The 27,299-nt window shown below is 43.6% G+C and overlaps 1 protein-coding gene across 1 annotated transcript in view, besides 1 other annotated feature; it reads right to left on the bottom strand.

The window, feature by feature from the left end:
- The window catches only part of SLC24A3 (solute carrier family 24 member 3), a 510,285-nt gene that overhangs the window by 215,412 nt on the left and 267,574 nt on the right, over positions 1 to 27,299 (bottom strand). The gene's annotated exons all lie outside the window — the stretch shown is intronic.
- Positions 9,669 to 10,868: an enhancer, noted in NCBI's record as "MED14-independent group 3 enhancer chr20:19477291-19478490 (GRCh37/hg19 assembly coordinates)". NCBI's record gives its function as "activates an origin of replication core promoter dependent on BRD2, BRD4, P300/CBP and CDK7 cofactors, and independent of MED14, by STARR-seq in HCT116 cells {active_cell/tissue: HCT116}" and the evidence as "EXISTENCE:reporter gene assay evidence [ECO:0000049][PMID:35650434]".

Genomic DNA, 27,299 nt, shown 5'->3' with positions numbered 1-27,299 from the left:
AGCCTGGATCCCTGAGTGACTGATACCAGAATCCCCAACCCCAATACATGCATTTTGTACGTGTAGCATGAGTAAAAATAACATTATTGTATTTTGTAGCCACTGATCTTCGGGGGCTGTTTGCTACCCAGCATATCCTAGCTCCTTGTGAGAAATGCATATGGTCCTTGCTCCTTGGCATCCCTACAGCCTTTTGCACGTTGTTTGCCTTGCAGCAATTTTTGGTTGTTTTCTCTCTTCTCCAGTAGACTGGGGGAGGGAGGTTAAGGTTGTAGGATATTGATTCTTCTCTGTAGCCCTGGTGTCTAGCAAAATACCTGGCACACAAATCACTTAATAGTGTTGGTTGAGGCAATTAACACATTTGTCATAAATAAAGGCCCCTGAACAAAATTATCCACAAAAGAATCTGTGTGAAAGTACATAAATGCATAACTTAATTTTCTAAATATTTAGTCTTTGGAAATGTTTTAGAGACATTTCAATGCATGCTTACATTCAACGAGGTCAAGTAAACCTCAGGCAGGCATGGGAGAAGGCATCTGGCAACAGGAGGTGCTGGGTGTTCCAGGGAACCAGTCTGTTCTTAGATCATCTTTTGAATTTTTGTCTCGTTCTAAAGATCATATCTTAATAACATTGGAAAATTTATTAAATCAATACTGTGTCAAAACACCACTGCTTACTTTCAGCACTTACCATCTGCTGGATACCATACTCAATACTAGTTAAAGGTACACAGCCCTTATCACTGAGGAGTTAACAGTTGAGGTTAGCTTGGGAGCAAGGGGACTCTCTTTGAAATCATCCCAATACCTTAAGTATTCTGAATTTAAGAATGGAAATAACCTTTATCAAGTATTGAAAATATATTTATCACTTTTTCATTGCTTCTATATGATAGGAAGCATTATCCCAATTTACAGATGGGTAAGCTGAGGCCCAAAGAGGGCAAGTAACCAGTCCAAGTTCACATAGACGTTAGTGGAAGAGCTGAGATCAAACTAGGGTCCAACTTTCTAATATGTTGATTCCACTGTCCTAGAAAGAACAAATTACCCCCTTTTTTCTTGTTTTTTTAAGGGCATAAGTCCTTCCCTTCAAAAACCAGAAACAAAGTTCAGATTCAAATGGATTGATGTGTGAATGAAAACAAGGTCATGAGAAGCATCTCTGTGAAGGAAGATGCAACCACAAGTCATGGGAACAGATGGCCTAGAGGGATCATTAAACTATCAATCAAAATGGTATTGCCAATCAAATTTGCTAAGAAAACTTGGATCAGCCAAATGCTTATGTGGTGACATTTGCTTACCACAGGCAACCAGCATTTTACAAGAGCCTGAGGGCCTGGATTTGAATCCGTCCTTTACCACTCATAAGTTCTGTGGCTTTGGGAAAATTCTTTAACATCTTTGAGTCTTAATTGTTAATGTGCAAAATGGGAGAATGAAAACAATACCCATTTATGTGGTTATTATGAGGATTGATGATGATGCTTATGAAATATGCAATACCTAAAATTGGGCAAGGACCTATCAAATGATAGCTCTGTTTGTCTCTAATTTATTAAATAATGGAGAGGGAGAAATATGGATAGGGGAGTTTCCCAAGACATCAATACCAGGCCCACAGTCCTGGGGCCCTATGTCTTTTGTACTAAGCACCTTCATCTCTTTCCCTGAAGGCTTTCTCCAGAGCTGAGAAAGGTTCCCCTGCCCAGGCACTGCAGGCTGGATATGCTGGAGAATTAATACCACTCTTTCTCTCAAGAGAAACTGTCAACCAAAGTCTGATGAAAGGTGGGTGTATAAGTACCCCAGCTCCCTCATTACCTGGATGAGATAACGCTGAGGTGTGTTCTACACTGTTAAGGGTTCCCAGCACAACTAAGCTCTGGTTGCTCACGGTGGTAACATGCCTATGATTGGTTGCCTATCTGTCATTGTCTCGTTGTCTCACTTCCCAGCTCCCATATTTGGGATCATCTCAGAAACAAACAACTTGTACTTGAGTTTGTTTCTGGGACTACTTCTGGAAAACCCATATTTAGAAAAGGAGAGTTAGGAATTTTGCACTTTTCCCTCTCTCTATTTCAACAAAGATTTGTTTTTCCAGAAAAGAACTTAAACACATTTGGATGAATTTTCCCCTAAATCATGGCAATAGTCTGTATGGACAATTTGCGGTGGATTTGCAATCTAGATAGCATTATGGAACTACCTCACTCCTGAATGCAGATTGAGAAACTGCCTTTGCTCCTTGTTCATGATGCTGAAGTTGATCCAACATCATGAGAAGCCCCTTGGTTCCCACTTAAGAGCTCTTTTTCTCATGTCTGTATTGGCAGAAGATTTTAAACAATCAGCCCACAAACTTTTCTCCTGGAAGAGAACAGACATTCTTTGGAACTAAAGAACCCCAATCATTAGTTACATAGACTATTGGCCTAGCAGAGCACTGAAATGTAATTTGACAAACTAGAAACATATTTCTTTATCAATAATAAAAACCATGGCATCAGTGCTGCTCATGTCTTTGAGCCAGCAGCTACTGTAGAAAATACAGCAATCTCATGAATAATGTAGTTTTCCCAGGCCACAAACATGGCAGCAGATAGGAGGTCTGTTTGCAAGGGCAAGAGCCTACGGCATGCATTTGTTGCTCACATGTGATTATCAAGGCTGTGTCACTAATGAATTCTCATTAAAGAAAGTGACATATTTATGGTAAATTCCCTGTGGTGTGCAGAACTTGATACTCTTCTTGGACTCCTTTGTTTCTCAAAGTGTCCCTTGGTGCCAACATCAGAGACAGAATGTTTGAATGGATGACCTAGGGTCTGACCCAAGTGCTGCATCTCTCATGTTCTTATGTCTGCTATTGATCCAGACCAATAGGCTGATGTACACAGGAACCCACTAAATAGTTCCTCAAGGGAACCCATGGTGATTACAAGGAATGCCCATTCCTGTTCAATGCCCTCAGAAAGGATGAGATTGCATGAAAAACTTTTCTAGAAAAAAAATGCACTTGAAATAGTGCTTTTGGAATGTAGTAATTCCCTACAGGAATCTACATGGAAAGTTTTTAAACTTTAAATATTTATTTTATAGAAGGTGAAGTGTGCATGCTAAATGGCTGGAGGTTTCAAAATCAATGACATTTTTTAATGTTAACTCATTAAATTCCAGAGGTGGAAGTAACCTTTATGGTTCTATTGGTCTATAGATGGGAGGATAATAACAGAATTTCATGAAAAGCACAAAAGTTTCCCTCTGCTTCCCCTCTTAAAAACTGCCCTTTTTCTTTCCTCCTGATGTTGTTATTCCACGACTGCCAATTTTAAGGATAGAAAATTAGTCTCATTCATGTTCATTGCTTGACTGCTAATGATTGACTGATAGGCTGAGTCTTGGATGGGGCTCAGTGTGGTAGAGCATCTCCATCTATTAGCAATGTCTACCATGGTTAGGGGAATAGGAACAGGGACATGTGCGCTCCTTATTTCCCTATACTGAAGCTTTGCTAACCAAGTCCTAAAATGAAAGAATAACTGGCACTCCTTGGTCCTGGTAATAGTGATTCCTGATATCATTTTGTTTGATCTGCACCTATTTTAGAATATAATCCATTTAAAAGGGGGAGAGTTATTACTAATCCATCTGCTTGAAGGTATTTGGTATCTTCAGGGAATTTATTGAGACGTCTTTAATCTTTAGCTTGATTTCTAGTTTATGATAATGAAATAAATATCTAAGAATATGCGTAGCTGTTGTAGGAAGACATAAATAAGCAGACAAAAAATATTGATTAGCTCAGTTGGAAAAAATAAGAGCTGTGCTTACTTCTCAGTTTTGGTCCTGGCCACCTCTGGCCCCCTCCTTAAGGGGAAAATGCAGATGTTGACTGCAGGAAATCATTTTTCCTTTTATGTTACCATACATTCAATATTTTTTGACCATTTACCTATAATTTTAGGTCAAAGCACTAAAGAATCTGCAAATTACTCCTGAAACTCTTTTAAGGGTAGATTAGAACTTGATTATTTTTTGTTAGATCACTAAGTTTGTGCATCCAAAGTTTAGATTCCAAATATCAAGTCTCCATCTCTTGGACAACATTTGCCTCTGAATATGAACAGAAATTAAGAAAAGAGCATAATTAATTCAAACCAAAAATGTAATTCATTTGTTCACTTTTCTCCATTTCCTTGAACTGTCACAGGGCTCTGGTGATGGCACACTATAGCTCTGAATGAAACATACTAAGTGCCTTTTGCTTCAACAATGTGCTTTGGTGTCCAGCTAGGATTTTGGGTTACAGATTAAGAACAGAAACTGATGACATGAGAGGTATCTTAGGAAGGGCACTGTGCTGCCTTGTAGATGGCAGAAGACCTGTCAGAGTTTGGAGCAAGCAAGATCAAAGCAAGAGAATTTAGAATCTACTTGATGTGTATCTAGTATTTTTTTTTTTTTTTTTTCTGAGACAAGGTCTCACTCTGTTGCCAGGGCTGGAGCGCAGTAACACTATCATGGCTCACTGCAGCCTCCAACTCCTGGGCTTAAGCAATCCTCCCACCTTAGCCTCCCAACAGGTGTGCATCAACATGCCCAGCTATTTTTTTTTTTTTTTTTTTTTTTGGTAGAGACAGGGTCTTGCTATGTCACCTAAGCTGGTCTCAAACTCCTGGCCTCAAGCTATCCTCCCACCTTGGCCTCCCAAAGTGCTGAGATTACAAGCATAAGCCACTGCACCCGGTCTTCTATTAATTTTTTTTATTATATATTTGACTTCATGGATGGTGGCTCAGGAGATTCTGGATTCTGTCATCTTCCTCTGAACAGTGTTGAGTTTTGTTCTAATAGGAAGTTGAATTATCAGAGGATTGTAATTACAAGCCACAAAGCCAGAGGTGGTTTTAGGTTTTCAGCTTTGATTGAATTACTGGAGGGTCATCATTTGTGGTAATTTTAGGCCTGTTTTAAGTGTGCCCTTAGTCCTGAGATGTGGTCCCTATAGGCTTTCAGTGGAGCATCTGAACTGTTTATCAAGCCCCTTTAACTTTAGAGGCTTGCACTTCTCAGTTTGTCTCCCCAGTGCCAGGCAGCAGCTGACATATCCGCTTTCAGCCTTTCAGCTGTTGTTTTCCCTGGGCCGCGTGGAGTCATCCCCAAGCATGTGAGGTTCAGCAGTCAGTCACGGACCTGAGGGAAATTTATATGTCTATTATAGGGCTCTCCCTCTTTGACTCCTTTCTTTCTGAGATTTCCCCCAATTTTCAGCTGCTCTGGGACCCAAGCTCCAATCTCTGATGCCTCAACCGAGTAAGACTGCTGCTTTCTGCCTGAGCTCTATCCCCCATATGCTACACACCTTGGGGAGGTTTCAGAGGAGAAAAGCTAACTGCTATGGCTCTCTGCCAGTCTAGTTTTCTTTTGAGGTTCATATCCCCTCCAGTCTCTGCTTGTTTTCTTCACTTTCCTCTGGAATATATTCTACTTCATAAGCGACTGCAAACCAAATTCACATTAAAGATTCCCCAAACTTGCCCTTAGCCACATTAAGTCCTCCATGGAACTTATGCTGCCTGGAGTCACGGTGTGGCCTGGTGGTAAATAACAGCCTAGGGAAAGTAAAGGTTGTTGGGATGGGCTGACAAGCTAGGATGGAAAGCCTGGGAGGTGAGCTAATTGCATGTCAACTTACGTGGATAAACCAAAAATCAGACAGAAAGAGCAATCAGAACAGTGGGAGATTACAGGAAGAGACACTGCAGCCTTCCAAAGCTCTCAACTATAAATATTTCAAGGTCAAGTCATCCCAAACAAGCATCTGTGGCAGTTCTAATGTCTCTGACAGGTGATGCCCCAAGGCTCAGAGGCAAGAACATGTGTTCAGAGGCAAAATGATATTGGAAACCAGTTACAGCCAAGAAGGTAAAATTGTGTTCTACTTTCCTTTAGAATCTGTGGGATCTCTTAGATGTTTCCTGCAAGTGTCAGATTTTGATGTCCCATGTGAAGTCGCCAAATTGAAATTCATGGTAACAGCAAGGTAGGTGTTTAATAAATGCTTTTCGAGTCTAGAGAAACTTGTGAAGCTTTATGAAGAGGAAAGAAAAGTGGGCAGAAAAATAAAACTTTTGACCAAGTCCGGCCATTACATAAAGTACCTCAGTATTAACATTTACTTTTTTTATGGAAGAAAGTGAAAATTTGGCTTAGTTGTTGAGTTAGTTAAGATGAAAATGATAAATACCATAATTTATGTTCCAAGTAAGGAGGGAAAGTGGACAGGAAGTAGGAGGAAAAAGTTTCACTTCATTCTTATGTTAGAATGCCATCATATCACCCATTATAAGTCAATTACTTCTTGCTCCTCCTCAGAACCTATGAGTTTGTGTCATTGGCACAAAGATTGTCATCTTTGTCTTTCCATGTACTTATGTATCATTGCAGGGTTGGCTGGAGTTGAAAACAGATTAAAAGAGATCCATAAAGTAATACAATTATTACAAGACAAAATAATGCAAGAGGTAGTGGTAGCAACATCCACTCTGATGTAATAACCTTGGTCATGATGTCACAGAGGCCTCATGCAAATGTATACATTTACAGTCATGAGCTAGGACAAATTTCAGGCCCACTTGAGTCAAAGGCTGATCAAAGATACTAATACCTCCTCTCCAGCCTTCCCAGACGAGGAGTGGTTTACCATGTACTTGAAGAAGCTGTGTTGCACCTCACTGGGCTGTTTGAGTTCTTGTAACGATGTTTGAGTTCATGCAGTGGGTGGGGTAAAATAACTTAGCAGAATTTTCAAGGATGGAAAGGAATTTAATATCATTGCTTCCTTTGATGTTTTCTCATATATTATATAACTTTGAATTTCAGGGCATTTCATATAGATTTATGGAGGAAAATTTATTAAAATAAATTCTTTTAGAAAATGACCCTTTCAATGTTTGAGACAATTTTTTATCCAAATAATATTGTATTCAATGAGAGACTCCAATATTTAACTTTTCTTGCCTAGCTCACATAAATATGATCAGACTGTCAATCCTAACTCATAAAAATCTCTGATCTCCTAGGTAACACTAAGATGAGGAGAGAAGCAAAAGAGCTGCTTTTGAATCTGAAGATAGAAGCAGCAAATCCCATGGGGATCCTGAACAAGGAAAGGAGACCCTGCCTAATAGCTTCCGAGGTGGCGGCCGAGTATCCACAGTTGGGGGACTGGAGAGAGTGGCATTTCCTTCCACTGAGTCTACGACACAGAAGCAAATCGAGTGGCTTTTTCTCAACAATTTCAGGTAAATGGTTCTTTCCAAGGATACAGGTTCCTTGAGAAAGATTCAAAGACCAAAGTGACTCTGATCCCACTTGCATCATGTAATGAGCTTTTCAGGGACACAGGTGTGCACCACACATTTCCTCATCAATATAACTCAAGGGTTCAGGGCAGAGTCGCTACATCCACCATGTCGTTCTTCAGCTGGCGGAGGATAACAGGGAGTATTCAGCACAGTCTTGATGTCAGGAGTTTACAGCCCAGCTGGGAAGCTAACTTCCAGCACACACACACACACAAATGCACAAACTGGAGGATGATTGAAGAAATCAGGCTACATCCCTAAACATGTATGTATGTATAATCCATGTGTGTACATGTATGTATGTATGTAGCATCCATGTGTGTACATGTATGTAAATATAGGTATGCATGTATGTGTGTGTGCATATGTACAAACATATGCATACGCAAGTATCTAGGTGTATGTGTGTAATGGACTGAATACCCTACTCCCCAAATTCATATGTTGAAATCCTAATCCCCAGTGCGATGGGGTCTTTGGGAGGTAATTAGGTCATGAGGGTGGAGCCCTCACAAATAAGATTAGTATCCTTATAAAAGTCATGAAAAATTAGCTTGGCATAGTGGTATGCAACTGTATTCTCAGCTACTCAGCAGGCTAAGGTGGGAGGATAGAACCACTGCACTCCAGCCTGGGTGATGGAGAGAGACCTTGTCTCTAGAAGAGTCATGAGAGAGTTTGTTTCCCCTCTCTGCTCTCTGTCACGTGAGAATACAAGGAGAAGTCAGAGGTCCGTCACCCAGAAGAAGGCTCTTGCCAGAACTTAACCATGCTGGCACCCAGTTCTCAGACTTCTAGCTTCCAGAACTGTGTGAAATAAATTCCTGTGTTTATAAACCCACCCAGTATGGTATTTTCTTAAAGCTGCCAGAACTAAGATAGTACATATGTATATGTATCTGCATAATAACCATCCCAAACATAGTGGCTTAAGACAACTGTAACATTTTATTGTTATGTCTCACATTTTTAGGCGTTGACCGGCCTCAGGTAGGTGGTCTTTACTTGGCTGCTCACACAATTGCAATCATATGGTGGCTGGACCTGGAAATGTGAAGGCTCCAACACTCACTGCCTGTCTGGCCTCTGGGCTAGGGGAACTGAAACACCTGGGAGCTGGAACAGCTGGGGCTCCCTGGCCTCTCCAAGTCTGTGGTCTTGCCATGTGGTCTTCTCAGCTTGGAGACTTCTCAAATAGTGGCTCAGAGCTGCACGTGCACACGCCAAGAGAGTGCCAGGAGGAAATCATACAGCCTTTTATGATCTGGCATAGGAAGTCACGCAAAACATTTCCGCTGCTTCTGCTGGTCATGGCAGTTACAAAGATTTAACCAGTCTTAAAGGGAGGTGAAGTGGACCCTATCTCTTCATTTTTGGTGGGGGAGGACAAGATTCTGGAAGAGTATGTTGTCCTGGAGTTCTTGCTGTGGTCTTTTGGGAAGATGCAATCTGCCACTATTTATCTCACCTGAACTGATAACCATAGCTATAACCATATTGATAACAATTGATATCTATTAATATGGATCAGACAGTGAGTGGGAAGTGAGGTCAGGAAGGAAGGTGTCAGCATGAGCCAGCACAGTGAGTGAGGCTGCATAGGGCAAATCAGGCTTGAGTGGAGCCCTAGAGAAGGACTGCAGGAGGCAGTCCAGGTGGACAGGGAAGTAGAGACAAGGTGTGGGGGTGGGGGAGGGGCACAGCCATCCAGAGTTTGAATGAGGTTGTGGCTCTTTAATGCTGCAGTCCCCAACCTTTTTGGCATAGGGACCAGTTTTGTGGAAGACAATTTTTCCATGGACTGGTGGGGAAGGGTGGTTTGGGGATGATTCAAGTATTTACATTTATTGTGTACTTTATTTCTATTATTATTACTTTGTAATATATAATGAAATAATTATACAACTCACCTCCATGTAGAATCAGTGGGAGCCCTGAGCTGGTTTTCCTGCAACTAGACCAGTCCCATCTGGGGGTGATGAGAGACAGTGACAGATCATCAGGCATTAGAATTTCATGAGGAGTGTGCAACCTAGATCCCTCGCATGTGCAGTTCACAACAAGGTTCATGCTCCTACGAGAATCTAATGCCACCACTGATCTGACAGGAGGTGGAGCTCAGGTATTAACGTGAGCCGTGGGGAGTGGCTGTAAATACGGATGAAGCTTTACTTGCTCATCCACCACTCCCCTCCTGCTATGTGGCCCAGTTCCTAACAGGCCAGGGATTGGTACTGGTCCATGGTCTGGGGAATGGGGACCTCTGCTTTAAAGCATTTCTCCTTGAACAAACAGCCAAGTTCTCCAGCAGAAACAGTAGCAACTCTTAATATGTTAATATCATTGTTCCCATTGCATGCTCTTTCCTGATCCTCATGAGAACTCGAGAGCTCTGTGCTTCACAGAGTGGGAAACTGAGGCTCAGTTCACAAAGTAAGAAGATCCACTTGATCTTCTGAGGCAAGTGTCCTTCCTTCTACACCACAGCAGCCTCTTCAGGATCAACATTAGACGTGGTTTAGTTCACGTTTCTCCCCAGGCTCAAAGGGGAAAAAATGTGCAAACCCTAACCTTGTTTTTTCCCAAAGAAATGACTGCACCAAGCATCTGCAAAACATGTGGAATTGCATTACATTTCACAGTACATTAGAGCCCAAAATGGGACCCGAGACTAAAATTGGCCAACTTCCTAATTAGCCTTTTACTAAGCCTTGGGCTGGAGAAACATGACCCCGGAGGACATAGCGTCTGGGATTCTGCTCCTCACTGCAGGCCTTGCGGTAAGTATCTTTCTCCAACTAGAGCTTCCTATTCAGATGAAACGGTCCTAGCCCCTTCTACCCAAAAAGGGACTGGTTTGGAGTTCTTGCCTTATTTGAGTGCCGGAAATGTCTACTTGTGTCTCAACATTTGTCATGGGCTAAGAATGAGCTGGGAGCTGACTCAGATTCTCCTGTTGCCTGAGATACATCCTGATGGAAAGCATGTTGGCACCTTTTGTAGGGACTCTTTCTATGCCCCAGGGCCCTTTTTTATCATGTGCACATTTTACGGCCATGGGGCAAATCGCTGGTACCCCATGGGGTAAATGGCTGGTACCCTAATGTCTACTTAGTGTGTTGGAACTCACAAGGAGAAGGCAGAAGGAGTTGATACTGGGGCTTGCAAAAGAGCTCAGCTTACAACAGAAAGAAGTTTAGACACTGGGGAAGAACAGGCCTGGTGCTGTTATTGCTCCCACAAACTCCTCTGAAAGTTGCTATAATGGAACTGAAGCTGGCAGTCAGGGTTCTGTCCTCCTCCCTGGAAAGCCCTTTACCATTTTGCTAACTCCAGCTCCCAGAGTGCTTCTACACTCAGGAGCCAGCACCCAGGGCTCGGTTGTGCTGAAGTTCCTCTCTGTGGGACTCTGCTTGACACCGTGCCCTTCTTGACCTCCTACCTTTTCCTGATCACACTATGTGCTCTCTGACCAGTTTTTCCAAGAAGCATGTCCAACATGGCTTTCACGGGAATGCTCATGCCAGGCTCAGGTTCTGGCAACCCAGGCTAACTCAGGAGCCACACAAATGCTGCTTCTTCCACAAACATTCTCTTGATCATTCCAAAGGAATCCTGCAATAAATTGCTACAGAGATTGGGAATCCAACCACAGGAGTGCAGGCTGGAGGGTGGGCGATGGACAGCAACTTGTTCCCCACATCCCTGAGCTATGTGGGGATATGGCTTCATATGCTCCTTTAATGTGACAGGGTCCTGAGTGAACCATGCACATCACTCCACAGCCCATCAGCTCCTGAGTGTCTGTTTTTGCTCAGTGGAAAAGCACATTTCCTGTTGAGACTCCAGCATGCCTATCGGGCCTTGCTGCATGGAGACCGGCTGGCTGGTGTTGAGGATGGACTGATGCTAGACTAGGCTTACTCTGCGAAATCATCAGTGAGAAGCGGGTGAGGCCAGAAGTGCAGAAGCCACAGAAACAACCACCCGTGGCCAAAGTTTCCATTCCCTGTGCCAGCCAAAGGGAGCCGGGGTGTCCCAGAGGCATGTCTGACTCGTCTGCACTGAGAGGCGGCAGGGAGAGTGTCTTCTCAGTGTTTTCACTGGCTTGAACACGTTCCAGACATTTCTATGTTCTTCTGTCACATTGTTTTTAAAAAAAATCTTGTTTTTGCCGGAAACTCAGATCCAAAGAGCCAAACAGAATCCACTGTGTGGCTATGTATTGGTGTGTTGGAAGCAGGCGCAGACTCAGGTGACAACAGGATGCCCAGCCTGAAATCTGGGGTGCTGTGGAGGATGTGGATATTAGAACCACATGGTATGGAAGAAAATGGCAAGTTGGGTTTCAGAATGGAAAAGATTGTACTTTTCTGTGACCATTTCCAAATAACAGAAAGGGAAGTTCTAGAGAAAAGGCAAGAAGTGAAGTGAATGGTCAGGGCAAGATTGGGCACAGCCGAGGGAGTCAAGTCTTGCAAATATCATCCACCCAAAAGGTATGGACCACACACATTTTGGCCAGCCTTGCCTTTCCTGAGGGAAGCTGTACTGCCATACAACGAATGAAATCAGCCTTTTTATGCTCTAATATTTTAACAAGCCTGGATGAATAGCTGAGCGGCTACATCCACAGCTGGCGATGCTCTACAGAGCGAGGCGTTCATGTCTGACCAGCTACATTCACTTATGTATCCACCCCTTCCCCTACTTTTACAAAACATGTCTAAAAGCTGAGAAGGAAAGGGCTGGAAAGGAAAGGGAGTTCTCATAGACAGATGAATGATGTCTCCTTGTAAAGGTGACAAGAACTTGTACATCCAGTCCAATGCAAAGTACAGGCAGGACAACCACATGACTATGTCTTGTAGATGCTGTTGGTGCCCGCTCAGAAACCCTTTCTGGGGCTGATGCATCCAGCTCCTGATAAAGGCTAAGAGTAAGTTCTCCAGAGTTGCACTTGGCCAGTGCATGCAACCTCACCCAGAAATGCCTAGAAGATTAAGTCCTCACTCCAAGAGGGGTGGTAGACACTAGGGTACAAAGGCCAGCTCCTGCCTCAAGGCAGGACAGCTCTGTGGTGCCATTCACACTCCATGGTCTCCTGGGATCCACCTGAGGCTGGTCTGCAGCCAACACCACTCCTTTGTTGCCTCCTTTCCTGCCTGATCCTGTTTCTCTCACTCCTTTTCTCTGGAGATCTCTCCAACAATGAATGACTTGCACAAGAATCTCTGTCTTGGGGACCCAACCCGAGACAACCTCTTCAGTTGGCTTTTGTTCTAAGTCTCCAAAGGAATGGGGCATCCCTTTGAATTGTAAAATGCATCAGAGGTGAGTCCTCTAGCCTTTTCGGGATGGCCAGAGCAAGATTTGCCTCTTAATCCCTCTAAGTCACTGCAGCCCAAAGCTGGATGAGTGGGTCTAGCTCCTTCTGTCCCAAATTCCAGGCTCAGGAAGACCCTAGTCCAGGCTGTGCACCCTGGAAACTGACCTACAGCACATAACCAAATTTGAATTAGACACCAAAAACAATGTGCACCCCCAAACTCCCACCCCAAACATCTTTGCAATCATTAAAATGGGGTAGTATTTCCTTCCCCCAAATCTCCCTTTGAAGCTTGAAGAAGGATTCTAGAAGGGTTTTATATTTTAATAAGTTTGTTTCCCAGATGATTTCATTACTTGGAAGGCAATGAGTCTGGACAGAACCAAGCATCCTCATTGAGATGCCCTAAAGATTCGTGTTTGCAAAGCTTCCCTCCACTAATTTTGTAGATCTGCTAGATGGAGCCAGTTTACTGCAAGAGTACTTCTCTGCTGAAGCATTTTCAATTCTGGAGAGAGATTTTGCTCTCCTTCATCACAAGGACTAAAACTGTCTAAAAAGTTTTCCACAGGCATGACTTATTTGGGTGGGTATGGACTATAGATGGGCAAACCCAGGGTCTAAGTACTCAGATAACACAGGCAGCATCTCTGCTGGGCACATGGGGCCTGGTGGCCGAGGCTGAGCCTCACAGAGAGATACCCATCAAAAGAAGGATCTCCAGTCACAGACCCTCTCCCCCTCCATGCAGATCTATGCACCCCAGGCCCTGGGGAGCCGCCCGGAAGGAGCATGAGCTATTTTGACTTGGAATGCGGCAAGCTAGGCCAAGGAAGTTGGAGCCAAGAGATACAGTGTCCAGCAAGACACCCGAGAGAGAGCATTTCCCTCCAAACCAGGCCTGTGAGGAACCAAAGAGGCAAGCAGCATAGTGGACCATCTGCAGCACGACCCTAGAAAGTCTGCCTCATTGCAGTGTTTCTGGAGTGTGGAGGGCTAAGCCATTCTCTCAGGGAAGGGGATGAACTGGCCATTGGCTTGAGAAGTGTTTCCCTGACTTGCCCTTAGCCTAACTGATCCCCCCAACTAAGATTCTTACCCTCCAGCTCCAGTGATCCCATTTTATGATCCATTCTCTTTCCCTAAGAAAGCACCCAGATTCTCTCCTCTTACCCACCCCCTGACATCTGATGACTGCTTCACATTTTCAGGCTATTCTACCCTTTTATCCTCAGCCTGGTCCTAAGAATGCAGAAAATAGTCAATAAATGCTGGTTGAAGAAGCATACATATGATTATTATATAGTACAGTGTTAGTACTTGGTTTATTCATTCACTCATTTAATTAAAATTTTGGAGTACCAACTCTATAACAGGTGTTGCATTCATCAGTAAATAAATAGACAGTGTTCACCCGGTTTGCTTATCTTTCTTACTCTTTTTAAAAATACATCACTGAATTGTGTGTGTCTTCCAAGGTATGCATCCTAGACCAACTTCCAAGGTCTTCAGGCCCTCCCACCGGCTATGTCAGAGATAAGATCTGAGATGGTGACTGCTCATGTGACCAACTCAAGGGGATGGAAATGACAGTCATTGAGATAACTGACAAAGAAATGGCCCACATCTGTGATGCTTCCCCATCCAGCTGGTCACCTGGTCGGCTTGCACTGATTCCTGTCACCATGGCAACGAGGCCAGGCCAACCATTTAATTCAGAGAGCTACACAGCAGCCTCACAAGCAACCTCAGGATCCAGAAATAATTCCATTCCCAGAGTCAGATATCGGCAGTGAGACATATAAAACATTATTGGAAAGATTAGAAATACCATACTCTGAACTGCTTCTAAATCCCTAGGGCTGTTGAAATCCCATCGCTATGGCTGGATAGCTCTTAAGGTATGAGAAGTACACACAGGATGCCTGGAAGGTGCTTGGTGTGCTTCCAGGGATGTGTAGATGAGGACAGGCCATACGAGAACAAACTTTGTAAATGTTAATAGTTATATAATGATCATTTTAATATTATTATAAAAATATCCACACTTATTTATGAAACAGATATAATAAAATTAGCTTCAAAAAATACAGTTTTTGAAAGTGAGTTTAAGGAAAATATACAGGAAATAATAATTCTCCAGGGAGTATGTGGATATGGTGAACATGTAAATATGAGATGCAGGAAACTAAAGCACTGGATCCCTGGCCTCAGGAGTAAAAGGCTAAAGGTCCATAGTGAGTGGGATTCTACCACAGTATTAACTTCCTGGAATCCTCTGCTTCTTGAATGGGAAAAATGAATGACTGTAAGAACTCCCATGGACTGAGCAGGTGTGGTGGGCTGAACGCTGGTGCCAGGCTACAGATGCGTTGTCTCAAATGGTCCTTCGAACACACTGGCAGATAAGTGGAGTTGTCACCATTGCACAGATGTGGAGATTTGATTCAGAAAGGAAAATAATCTGCCCAAGGCCACATGACTCATAAGTGGCAGAGACAAATCTAAAACCCTGTTTTCTTGGACTCCAGAGCCCAGGCTTTTAACTACAATGTTGTCCTGAGTACTCTAAAGCAAGCATCTGGCCTTGCTTTAGAGTATAGTAAAGAAGAATATCCATGGCCTTGTCAAGGCCAGAAAGCTCTGTTTGAAATACTTGCAAAGTTTCCTATCAAAAGGTAGATAACTTTCGGATCTAGTGCACAGTGAACAACCTGGGTATCTGCCCACACCACTGGTTTTCATCTGCACCCCGCTTCGGTGTGCCTCCAGTTTGTAACAGCCAGCACATGCACCTTCTCTTTGAAGAGGGGTGAAGGGGGGGCCCTTGAGCACTTCTGGAAGAGCATGGGCAATAATGACACTGCTGCCCTGCCCAGGTCCCTTAACTAATCACTGATGGAGGAAGGTGTTTGCAAGCCCAGCGCCCTTGCCCAGGGCTGGGACATCCTGGAGGGAGAATTCACACTGAGTACCTGTGGGATTAAGATGAAGCCTTCCCGGGCAGTGTTTTGACTGGGGAGACACCCTCAATTTGGTTCCTTCCCTTCCTCTTTCCTCTCCCACTCCTTTCCCAGCATGTCCTTAGTGATTTGCAAACAAGTCCTCCTCTTGAAAGCACTTCTGGGGAGCCCATCCTCATTGGGAACAGAGGAGGGGCAGGGGTGTCTGACACATGAGCAGGAGGGTAGAGGAGGTATGGGGGGTGCCAGAATGTGATGGCAGCGCCACTCAGTGCCTGGGGTGACAGAGCCTGGAAAGGCCTAAGCCAGGGTGACTGGAAGCTCAGGCAACCTTTGTCCATCGAGGACAAGGGTTGGTCATTTCTGCCCTGAGGTCATTGTGCTAAGGGGCATGGAAGACAGATGACACTTCTGTTCAACCAACTCAGGAACACAGCAGACAACACAGATTGGTGCTAGGGAACCAAGCATGTCGAAAGAACCATCTTTGAAGAGGTTAGTTACAGACTAGACAGGTAACAAGGAAGGAGGATTCAATGTGCAGGAAACACAGTGACCAGGAGGAACCGGAATGAGAAGCATATTCAGAGGACAGGGAGGGGTGCACAGCCCTTCCCCTCTCTGGACAACTACGAGCTCAGGTGAGGGACCTGGGGAAAGAAGGTTGGTGCTGCTATCCCTGGCATCTAAATGCAAGGATGGCAGTGAGGACCCCTCCCCTCCAAGGAATGAAAGGGCAAGTTCACATGCTTCAAATGGTTGTTGCCATAACTGGGTGATTAGTGCATGGGAAAAGAGGAAAAGGCAAAGTTGAGTTTTGTGAATGTTCCGTATTTTAAAATATGAATAAATTACTTTCTGCTCGCTGAGAAGAAACAGAGAAGCAATGAGAGATTAGAAAGTGGCAGTGGCACAGATTGCCATGAGGGAGGAGCAGGGAGAAAGAATTGTTTCCTGCAAGCCAGCCATTCATTCCATGCAAGGGCTACAGATGCATATTTTTAAAACCTTCAAGGGATGGCAAAGAGCAAGGATGGGAGATATAAGTCCCCATTTGCCCCCTAGGCAGTTCTCCAGGATTTTGTATGTGTGTACCAAGAGCACATGAAATCCCACATCCCTCAGGAAGGTGGGTCTGAGGTGTGGAACTACCAAATTGAGGAATGGTGTTTATTTTTTAACACTAGAGTGTCTTTGGCAAAATCTTCACCCTAACATCCCAATCTTAATAATAGCTCTAACTGTATCAATTACTGAGTCATAATTACTATATTTAGCAGACATCCAGGTCAGGATTTTTCAGTAGTTCAAATACCACTGCACCTAAAGCCGCTATTTTAGGTGGTTAATGATGCACATGGTAACTTGGGAAACTCCTGGGCATCCCTCTCTCCAGAAAGTCAGGGGATTCGGTAACAAAGGAGGCCAGTGGGACTCTTGGGTGCTGACTGCCTCTCTCTTGGCTTTGTGGATGAAGTATATGGCAGGAGACATTTTTCAACTGCCAGATTTCTCACGAGCCTGAGAGAGTTTCTGTTTTGGGAAAATAAACCAGGAGCCATTTTTTCAATTCCCTAGGGGCCATGGGCTGTGTATTGGAGAGATGCTACCCCTGGGCACAAGATTGGTTTCCATCTCATTACCATCTAGAGTGAAAGATGGGAGGACATGTGGCCTTGGATCAAAAGGACAATTTGAATGAACTGGCAACAGTTCTGATGGCCAATCTGGCCATCAATGAGTAAGGAGGAAGATCTGTGGGATCCAGGGGAGTATTTGGAAGTTTACAAACACAGAAACAGGTGAGCAATTCAGGATCCCCCCAACCAGATACACCAAGGACACAAACTTTCCACACTCCCAAAGACAGTTTCTACTTCCTCCTACCCAGAGCCTCTAAATCTAGTGCTGGATTCAGAAAGAAAATGGGGCAACATTCAACTCCATTATTCAGAACAGTGAAGAACGGCACATTCCAGAGGGAGAGGCACCCACCATAGGTTAATATATGGGCCATCAACTAAAAAGGCCACGTGGTATACTGTACACTCAGTGCTCTGAACTGTTTTCTGAACATATATAATTTGTCTTTGATGTTCCAAAGACAATTCGGGACCCACAGATCCTCAGGGCCACTAGGAAGCTCTCAACAACAGTTAAAATTCCCCTGATCAGCCCCTCTGTGCCCCCAAATTGTAGTTCCTGGCTGGTCATATACTGGAATGTCCCAAAGGCCCTTGGGCTCATTTGAAAAAGTAAATTGGGAAACAAATCCATAAAAGAGAGAAATATGAAAATGTTTAGAATAGTACTTATCAAATTGCAGGCATTTAGTAAATGTAAATTGTGAACCAAGAACAAATGATTCATCAACTATAAACAAAGCCTACTTCAAATATATTACTATGATGTTTATACTTTTGAGTCATGTGCTGCTTTAACCTGCAATGTTAATTAAAATAAAATAACACACAATAAAATGAGATGCTTGCCATTAAAACCTGTGATCTTAACTCAGGATTCTAAGACATGAAAACCCACATACACTGAGAATATAAAAACCTCATATAGCCAATGAGTCAATCATACCTACAAGGGGATTGAGATAATCCCTGTGATAGGGATTGAGAGTCTAGCAATTCTCCATATTATTATGGGACAAAACCCTTTTCTCTTGAGAAATTATAGGCTGTAGGAGTTCTGAATGTATAGATTGAATTAGGCTAGGTGACTTCCCCAGAAATTCCAAGGGTGGCTTTCCTTTCCTGAGTGCATTAAAGGAAAAAAGCAAAGAAGACGTATGCGGGTTTCTGCTCTGTGACTGATCTCAGTAAATACAACTTAAATAATCTACAGGTTGAACATCCCTAATCCGAAAATCCCAAATCCCAACTGCTCCAAAATCTGACTTTGGATCAGTGACATAATGCCACATTGGTGGGCTGAGACAGTGACACTTTTGCTTGCTGATTGTTCAGTGTACACTAACTTTGTTTCATGTGCAAAATTATTAAGAAATTGTATAAAATTACCCTCAGGGCCTGTGTAGAAGGTGTATATAAAACATAATTAAATTTTGTATTTAGATTGGGTACCACCCACAAGATATCTCATTACGTATATGCAAATATTTCAAAATAAAAAAAAATCTGAAACACTTCTGGTCCTGCGTATTTCAGATAAGGGATGCCCAACCTGTACTTGTGCCCACTGTTAACTAGGTTGAAATGTAGTTTGGCCAATTTTCCAACTGAAGCATTTCCTGGTGGTGACAGTAATGGAGAGTCGAGAGTCCCAGCATGTTTTATCCCTCCAGAAGGTTGTTAGGCTGGATGGAGCTGGGCTCTCATTCTCATTTCTTTCTAGAAGGCAATTCCTAGATCTTGGTCTGAGGGAGAACAGAACCTCACACATGAGGCTCTATAATGAAGCACTGCCCTGTTTGTTTTGTTTTCCAGTATAAAGGATTCCCATCCTAACGTGTCAGTCCAGGTTATGAAGTATTAAGTCAGGCAAGAGGAGGTGCAATCCTGATGTGCGCAGAGGCAAGCAGAGCTGGGATGAGAGGGCCAAGTCCCTGCTCCAAGGCACCTGCCCTCTGGCCTCTGCCTAGTACTGCTGAGGGGACTGAGCACTGCCTGAGGTCCCATGATTATAGCTGCAATGGGGGGAAAATGCCAGAGTCAGTAACAATAAAATGCGCTACCCAGCGCATGCCAATTCTCTTCTTGTTTGGTACGAGAAAGTCTCTCTTGACCAGCCCCATCAATCTTCTGGGGAAGGAGGTCCATAAGGGCCTATTTGGGATGTGGTAACATCAACATGCAGAGATGGTCATTGACACATCTTTCAATTTGGCCACAAATTGAAGAAGAAAACAACCCACATATATTGGTTCATCAGGACAAACCAAACAAAACAAAACTCTGTAGGAATTTTGACAATAAAATGGAAGCAGCAGCTAATCATAAAGAAGCCTCATTTTAAGAAGGCTTGGAATAAAGCTTCATGACCTCAAAGTGGCATCAGTATCTTGGGGATCAGCAAATATTTCTAGAATGGAGTAGCTATGGCTTGCTCTGTAAATTCACTGGGATATTAGCGTGGCATACAGACCTTTTTCTTCACCTCAGCTCACAGTGACTGACTAGGTGTAGTGGCTGTGATTGAGTCAAGATGGAATTTCTTGATATCATCTAGTACTGATATTATTGTGCAATAAGCTGGGATTCAGTTCTTCAGAGAGCTTTGGGTCCACCAAATATGTATTAGCTTGGGGACCACAGATGTGTCATTTGTCTCCTCTGAGCCCTGGTTTCCTACCAAATCAGGCAAAAGGCATTTTGCTATGGAAATCTGTATAGTGCTATTGTTGTTATTATTATTATTCAGAAGCACTGATCTGGTACAGGAAAAGGCAATCAGATTTAGTTAAGGTACAGGGAGGAAAATGGAATGGTAAATATGAAAACAATGAAATATGAAGGGAAAAAGAAAGAGAATGAAGGTGGTAAGAAAACAGAGAGGTCTCTTTGTGCTCTTGGAAGGAAACAAAGATTCCTAACGCATGGGGTCTCCAGCCTCTGAGTCCTTCCTTATCATATTACAGGGCATTTAATTCAATTCAAGAGGCATCAATTTGGCATCTCCTGTGTTCTGAGCACTCAGCTCTATGGGAGACGCTAAAGAAGAGTCATAAGGGTACAGCTGACACTCCACATTCACCTAACAGATCTTCCAAACTCTTATAAAGTAATTATCCCCACTTTATAAACAAACAGGCTGAGGTTTAAGGCATTTAAATAACTGTGTTCAAGGACCTGGAACCAGAATCCAATCCCAGGTTTGACGGGCCCCAATGTCTGTACCTCTAACTGCCCTCCAGAGAAGCAGGGCTCCATGGCAAAGACAGAACTTGACCAAAGTTGTGTCCAAGCCCATGGGAGCAGTATCTGATGTATTTAATTCCCAGGCTTCCTATGCAGTAGCACGTCTTTATTGATTCTGCAGGGTCTGGGTGCCTGGCAGAAGATAAGTGGAATCCACATCCTTCCACTTCAGCCACAACATGAGACATACCTCATCACCTCTTTTCTTAGATACTTATAGTCCCTAAAATTAAGCCATTGGGTTGACGAGACATACAAGGATAAAACAGGAGACAAAAATAACCCTCATGAAGTGGAGGTCAGTGCTGTTGATGGAGCTGTGTATGGAGACAGGAGATAAATGAGAACCACATACTTTTGTCCCTGAAGTTGAGCTTGTGGGTTGGGTGTGGGGCCATGGCCCCCAAACCTGAGCTGACACTAGTCACATGATAACAGTTATTTTCCTCATTTATCTCACCAGCAGGCAGATACTTTCTTTCGGAAATTTTCATTTACTTTTTTAAAACATACATTCAATAAAATTCACCACTTTTGGTGTACTGTTCTAGGAGTTTTGGCAAAGGCTTTCATTTCTTCATTCAACCACTGTTACCATCAAGACACACCACAGTTCCATCACCCCCTAATTCTCTGGTAGTTAACTCCTAATCCTTGGCAAACAGTGATCAGTTTTTCTGTTCTTACAATTTAGGAACAGAATTTACTATGGTAATACTTATTTCTAGTCTTTATAAATTCTGTTTCCCTACTTAGTACCATGGACTAGAAGGGAGACTCTCCTTCCCTGGGTCAGCAAGGACTTGCTAAGCCTAGGGATGTGGTGGGGGCATGCATGCTGGTGAGTGAACCTGAGCCAGGGCCATGAGATGGAGCTGAAATTCCCTCCACCTACCCTCCAGCCCACTTACCTCCCACACCCCCACACTGCAGCTGACCCTGCACCCACCTATACCAGACCCCTTGCAGGTAACAGTGCCCACTGATGGCCTCCTCCAAGGCCCTCAATGGACCACCTGGGCTAACCCCAGAAATGGAAGGCAGTCAGGTTTTCAGGACAACAGAATGATAGACAATGGGTAATTGTTCCCGTTGTCTAGAGGGGGATCTCTTTCTCCCATGGGGGGCACTTTGTTTCTGTTGAGATTCTAGCAATGTGAGTAAGATCCTTGGAGCAGGTGTGTTTTGGGAGCGTGTGAATCTTGGTTGTTTGGTCCTTAGGAGCTGTGGATCAGAGGCCCTTCAAGGAGCTGTGAGGCCAGTATGACTGGGACCTTCATCATCAAGGCCAACTCTAAAAAAGTGTATGTATGTTTGAATAGATATATTACATATGCATGTATTTGTTACAAATAAATAACACATGCTTTCAAAAAGTAGCCTTCAAAAGGATAAGAAGGAATGAAGTCCCCAGTCGCCCAACTCCTGGCCCAGATACAACCAGGATACTCAGTCTCTCGAGGCCCTAGCAGGTGTTTTCCTATGAGAATGGTGCACTTAGGCATAAATACAGCCTCCTTTGTTTTTACACAAATAGTAGCTAATTACATACAGTGGTATGTATACTGCAATTTTCACTTAACATATCTTGGAAATCTTTCCACATGGACTCATCAGTCCAGCTGCCTCATTCACTTACTGGGTGTCAAGGAATGACTCCCTTACCCAGGGCCCCATGACAGACAACGAGGCTGCTGCCAGTGTTGGCAAACTGGGCTACAGCATCATCCTATGCACACTTCTTTGTGTATCTGGACAAGAATATTTAGAAGATAAATTCCTAGAAGGGAAATTGATGGGTAAAAGTGCTGCACATTTAAAAAAAATTGACAGAAATAAAATACTATCCAAAGGGCTTATACCAATTTCACACCCACCAGCCATGCATGAGAGTGAGTGCCTGAGTCCCATGCTATTGCCAACACATTTAATTATGTAGCTTTTTGATCCTCTGCCACTATGGTCCAAGAAAAATGCTGTCCAGGGTAGCACTAATTTGCACGTTTGCTTATAACCGAGGAGACTGAGTATCTTTCAGTCTCCTGAAAAAATACACACCTATTTTTAAAGTTAGTTTTAATTTTTTCGTTTTAATTGTGGTAAAAATGTACACAGCACAAAATTTTTCATCATAACCCTTTTTAAATGAACAGCTCAGTAGTCTAAAGTATATTCATGTTGTTTGCGCAGCCACTAGGCAGAACATTTTCATCTTGGAAGACTGAAACTCTTAACCCATTGAATAACTCCCCATTCCTGCCTCCCCCCGGACCCTGACAATCCTACTCTACTTTCTGTCTCTATGCATTTGACTACTCTAGAGACTTCACCCAAGTGGACTCATATAGCATTTGCCTTTTTGTGACCGGTTTATTTCACTTAGCATAATGTCTTCAAGGCTCATCCGTTGTGTAACATACATCAGAATTTCCTTCCTTTTTAAGACTGAGTAATATTCCTTGTACAGATATACAAGTTGAGCATCCTTAATCCAAAAATCTGAAATCTGAAATGCTTCCAAATCTAAAATTTTTTGTGTCAACATGATGCCACAAGTAGAAAATCTCACACCTGACCTCATGTGACAGGTCGCAGTCAAAATGCAATCAAAACTTTGTTTCAGGCTCAAAATTATTAAAAATTTACAAAAAATAACCTTTAGGCTACGTGTATAAGGTGCATATAAAACATAAATGAATTTTATGTTTAGAATTGGGCCCCATCTCCAAGATACCTCATTATGCATACGCAAATATTCCCAAATTTGAAAAAATCCAAAATTCAAAATACTTCTGGTCCTAAGTATTTGGGAAAAGGGATACTCAACCCTTACCACATTTTATTTATCCATTTATCTTTTGGTGGACATTTGAGTCCACCTCTCAGCTACCGTGACTAATGCTCCCATTAACATAGGTGTGCAAATATCTCTTCAAGACCCTGCTTTTGGATATATACATTCTTTTGGATACGTATCTCAAAGTGGAATTGCTGGGTGATTCTATTTGGATTTTTTTATTTCCAGCTAACCGTTAAACACCAGCCAGACCTCAGTTCCTGGAAGTCTCTTTCATGGATACTCAAGCTCATCACAGAATTTGTTCTTAGGTCCCTCAGTTCTCTTTGGTACTCTGGGATTTTGACTTCCAGTGTGACCCAAGAAGAAAGCCAGAAACCAGCAGCACGGACCCAACCTGGCCCCACAGTTGCAAGAAGCTGGGCTATTATCACAGCAACTCCACACAGGCTTAGACCTCAGGACCCTTAGCTGAGCCTCCTGGCCATGTAGATCCAGTAGCTTTTTTCCTGTTCACAGTTGCCCTGACTCTGGTATCCACAGCAAAGGAGGCAACTCCATTTGGAATGTCAGTAAACCTCAGGGCAAGAAAAACAGCAGACACAGCTGGTGAAAATGCCACCTACCCTTAAGAACTTGCCAAATATTCTAAACCCTAAATTTAGGTTTAGTTACCACATACACACACAATTACTCCACAGCCCCACAATCCACTGAAATGTGATAGCCAAATTCTGTGTCAAGTGTCCTAGGCTGGCTGCTGTCAAAATTTATTTTCCATTTATTTCCATTGCAAATAACTTTCTTTGGTCCCTTTTCTCAAAAGGGACCCCAGTTGTTTTGGAAAGCCAAGCTCAGTAAAAAATCTGCTAAGAAGCTATTGTTAGTTAGTATCAACTTCCCCAGGGATAGGGTGGGTAGGAGGAAAACTATTGGTGACCAAGTGCAGCTGCCTTCTGGAGTCCATGGTCAGTGGGACAGTTTGATCAATGAATCAGGACTGATCATTGCCCCTGATGTGCCTGGCCTTAGCAGCCATTAATTACAAGCAAACAAGCTAATCATTAGTAGGTTACTTATTGCTGTCAAGCCTATATCCCTGCAGTGGAGATAGAAAGTGTGTTGTCACGTGAGCAAAGCCAGCAAGACTACATCATGTGCTGAAAGGGAAAGACCACAGCAACACCATGGGCCATTTTTGTGATTCACCACCTTCCCATCTGCTAAGCTGGTCTTCACACTGAATCATAAACCTTGCAATTGAATTCAGCACACACAGGTGCAGAGCCTCCTATTGACTGAACCGTGTGCTTGTGGTGTCCTCAAACTGTCTCCAAGAGTTCTTCTCTGAGATCCCACCAAGTGAGGAGCTAAAGGACAATCTCAGCAGAAGGGTTCTCACTGTCCAGAATATTTCAGCAAGGTATAGGTTCTGTCCTCACAGAAGAAAGAACAATCCTCCAATGGGAAAGGAAATGAGGCTATCTCAGGCTTGCTCCATTCATTGAATCATTCACTCATTTATTCAAATAAAATTTCCTGAGCACATGTTATGTGCCTGCCAATGGCTGGACACTGGGGACACAAGAGAGATTACCATGCAGTGTGAAAGCAAGTGGTGATTTAATTTTACTAATGAATGCAAAGTTTCAACTTGATAAGCACCAGGAAGATGTCCCCAGAGAGTCTAAGACCTGTGCAAGGATGGCTGTGATTCCCTTGGCCTACATGGCAGAGGGGCAAGCAGATTTGGAGTAAAGTAGGGAGATGTGGAGGACCACTGTTCCAGGAAGAGGAAAAGCCCAGAGAAGCCTGGGGGAGGGAGGACAACATGGTGTTGACAGCTGAAGAAGGAGAATGAGGCTTGAGGAAAGAGAATAAGGAATGACGGTGAGGTGAGGTGCAGAGGGTGCCAGACAATGCAGGCCAGGTGGGCCAGGTGGGCTGGGAGGATCAGGTTGAAGTGTTGGTCTTCACCCTTAGAGCAATGGGAAGCCATTTGCATTTCTAAAAAGGGGGTGCACAACCAGGCTGAATTTCTTGAAGGATCATTCTGGCTGTCATGTGTACAGAGTATTGGAGGCCAATGAAGCAACATGGGCTATGGTGGAGTCCAGGTGAGAGGAAGAAGTGCTTGGCTCTGCAGTGGAGATGTGTGCACAGGGTGGGAACCCGGGAGGAAGACTGGGTCTGGGAGATGGGTCTAGAGGTCAGTTTGGACATGTAGCATTTGAAAAGCCTATGGCTTTTCCAGAAGGAGGTGTCCACTAGGTCTAGAGCCCAAGATTATAAGGCTAGAGCTCAAAGAAGAACCCTAAGGGGAGGGGCCAAAGAGGGGAAATCCTTGCACTCACTCCATAGAAAAGGGCCCTCTGTAGGAAGATCACTCGGGGAGCACTCCCCGGGCTCTCTGTAGGTGGAATGAAATGCTGATCTGGCTTTCATGACTTCTCCAGGGAATCCCCCTGGACACTTTCCCCAGCTGTCCTGCCAACATCAAACTCTGCTCATCCCAAATCAGACTCACTCTGCTCTCCCCCAGCTTGGAGACCCACTAGTCCTTTCGTAGACTTGTGGGACCACCGTTTCTCCAGGCACCCAGCTGAAGTCAGAGTCATTGTGAATTTTCCTGAATCTCTGCCAGATTCTTCTCCTATTCATGGGATGGAATTTCTGTTGAGTCTAAAGCCAGCCTCCTGAATTTCCACTGTGACTCCACCATTTACCAACTGGACAACCTTAGACCAGATATGCCTCAATTTCCTTTTCTAAGATGGTGGCTGTGGCCTCATACACTTCACAGGGCTGTATAAACTAAGCACTAGTACGTGTGAAGTGCTAAAACGGGTGTCCAGCACATAGTCACTGCTCAATAGTTATTATTATCACAACTTTAATATCTTCTTCAACATACTTTGGGCACACTGACAAGCCAGGACGTAGCAATGTAGCACCTTCTCTTGAGAGTGTTGCCTATACTATCTATTTCTTCCTCTGGACTGGAAACTCATCGTGGGCAGAGGCTGTTTCTCATTACTATTTGGTTCCCAAGTTCCTGTCGCAATGCCCTGAATGTGCTCCAAAATGACCACTACTTCTATGATTGTGCAGTCACAGCAAATTTTATAAGTCCAGGCATGCAGTGGGCAGTGAGAGAAATGAGCATTAATAATGTTCCTGTCAAGAACCCAAAGTATTTTTAGAGGTTTTGTATTAAATAGGGTAGTCAATATGTATTTGTTAAATTCTATTGGATTTTTCTGGGCTTACTAAACTCAGTTCTGCTGTTTCAGCCTTTCAGGAGGACAATAAAACCAGTAAGGATCAGTGTCCCAGGACCCAAATATTCATGAACAAGAAACCCAGCTCTTAGATTGAGTTCACTGGCCAAGGGGACTCAGATAAGCCAACTGGTCTTTGGGGAACTTCCCCCTTTCTGCAAGATCAGCACACAGAGTTGCCCTCCCAACCATGAGAATAAGGTACATGGAGTCTACAGAATGTTCTGGTCTCCTCTGTGAGCAGGGTTCCAGGAGCTGAATGGGCTAGTTGTCAGACAAGGGCATGGAACCAAGTCTAGGGCAGAGGATGCCACCACATGTCAGGTAGGCAACATGGTAGGCAAGACCCCAACTAGTTTCTGCAATAGTGCACCTCAAACTGGACACAACTTTTTAACCCCGAATTCAGGCAGCTGTGTGTGTAATGATGTAATATAGTCCCAAAGGCAGGATGGCTCAGCTGGGTAAGAGTGGGTTTGGGAAGCCAAGAGAACAATGTAGAATATGATATTTATATGTATGAGTGACCATTTCACAGAATCATCAATGATTAGAACCTCTCCTCTAGTCCAAAGGAGAAAACAGCCCCAGAGAGGTGAAATGACTTCTCTTAGCTCACTCATCTTAAGGCCAGGCACCCAAGTGCTCTGTCTCCT

This window comes from Homo sapiens, chromosome 20 (genome assembly GCF_000001405.40).
Source record: "Homo sapiens chromosome 20, GRCh38.p14 Primary Assembly".
In the NCBI taxonomy this organism is placed as follows: domain Eukaryota; kingdom Metazoa; phylum Chordata; class Mammalia; order Primates; family Hominidae; genus Homo; species Homo sapiens.
This window is presented reverse-complemented; position numbering and strand designations above follow the sequence as displayed.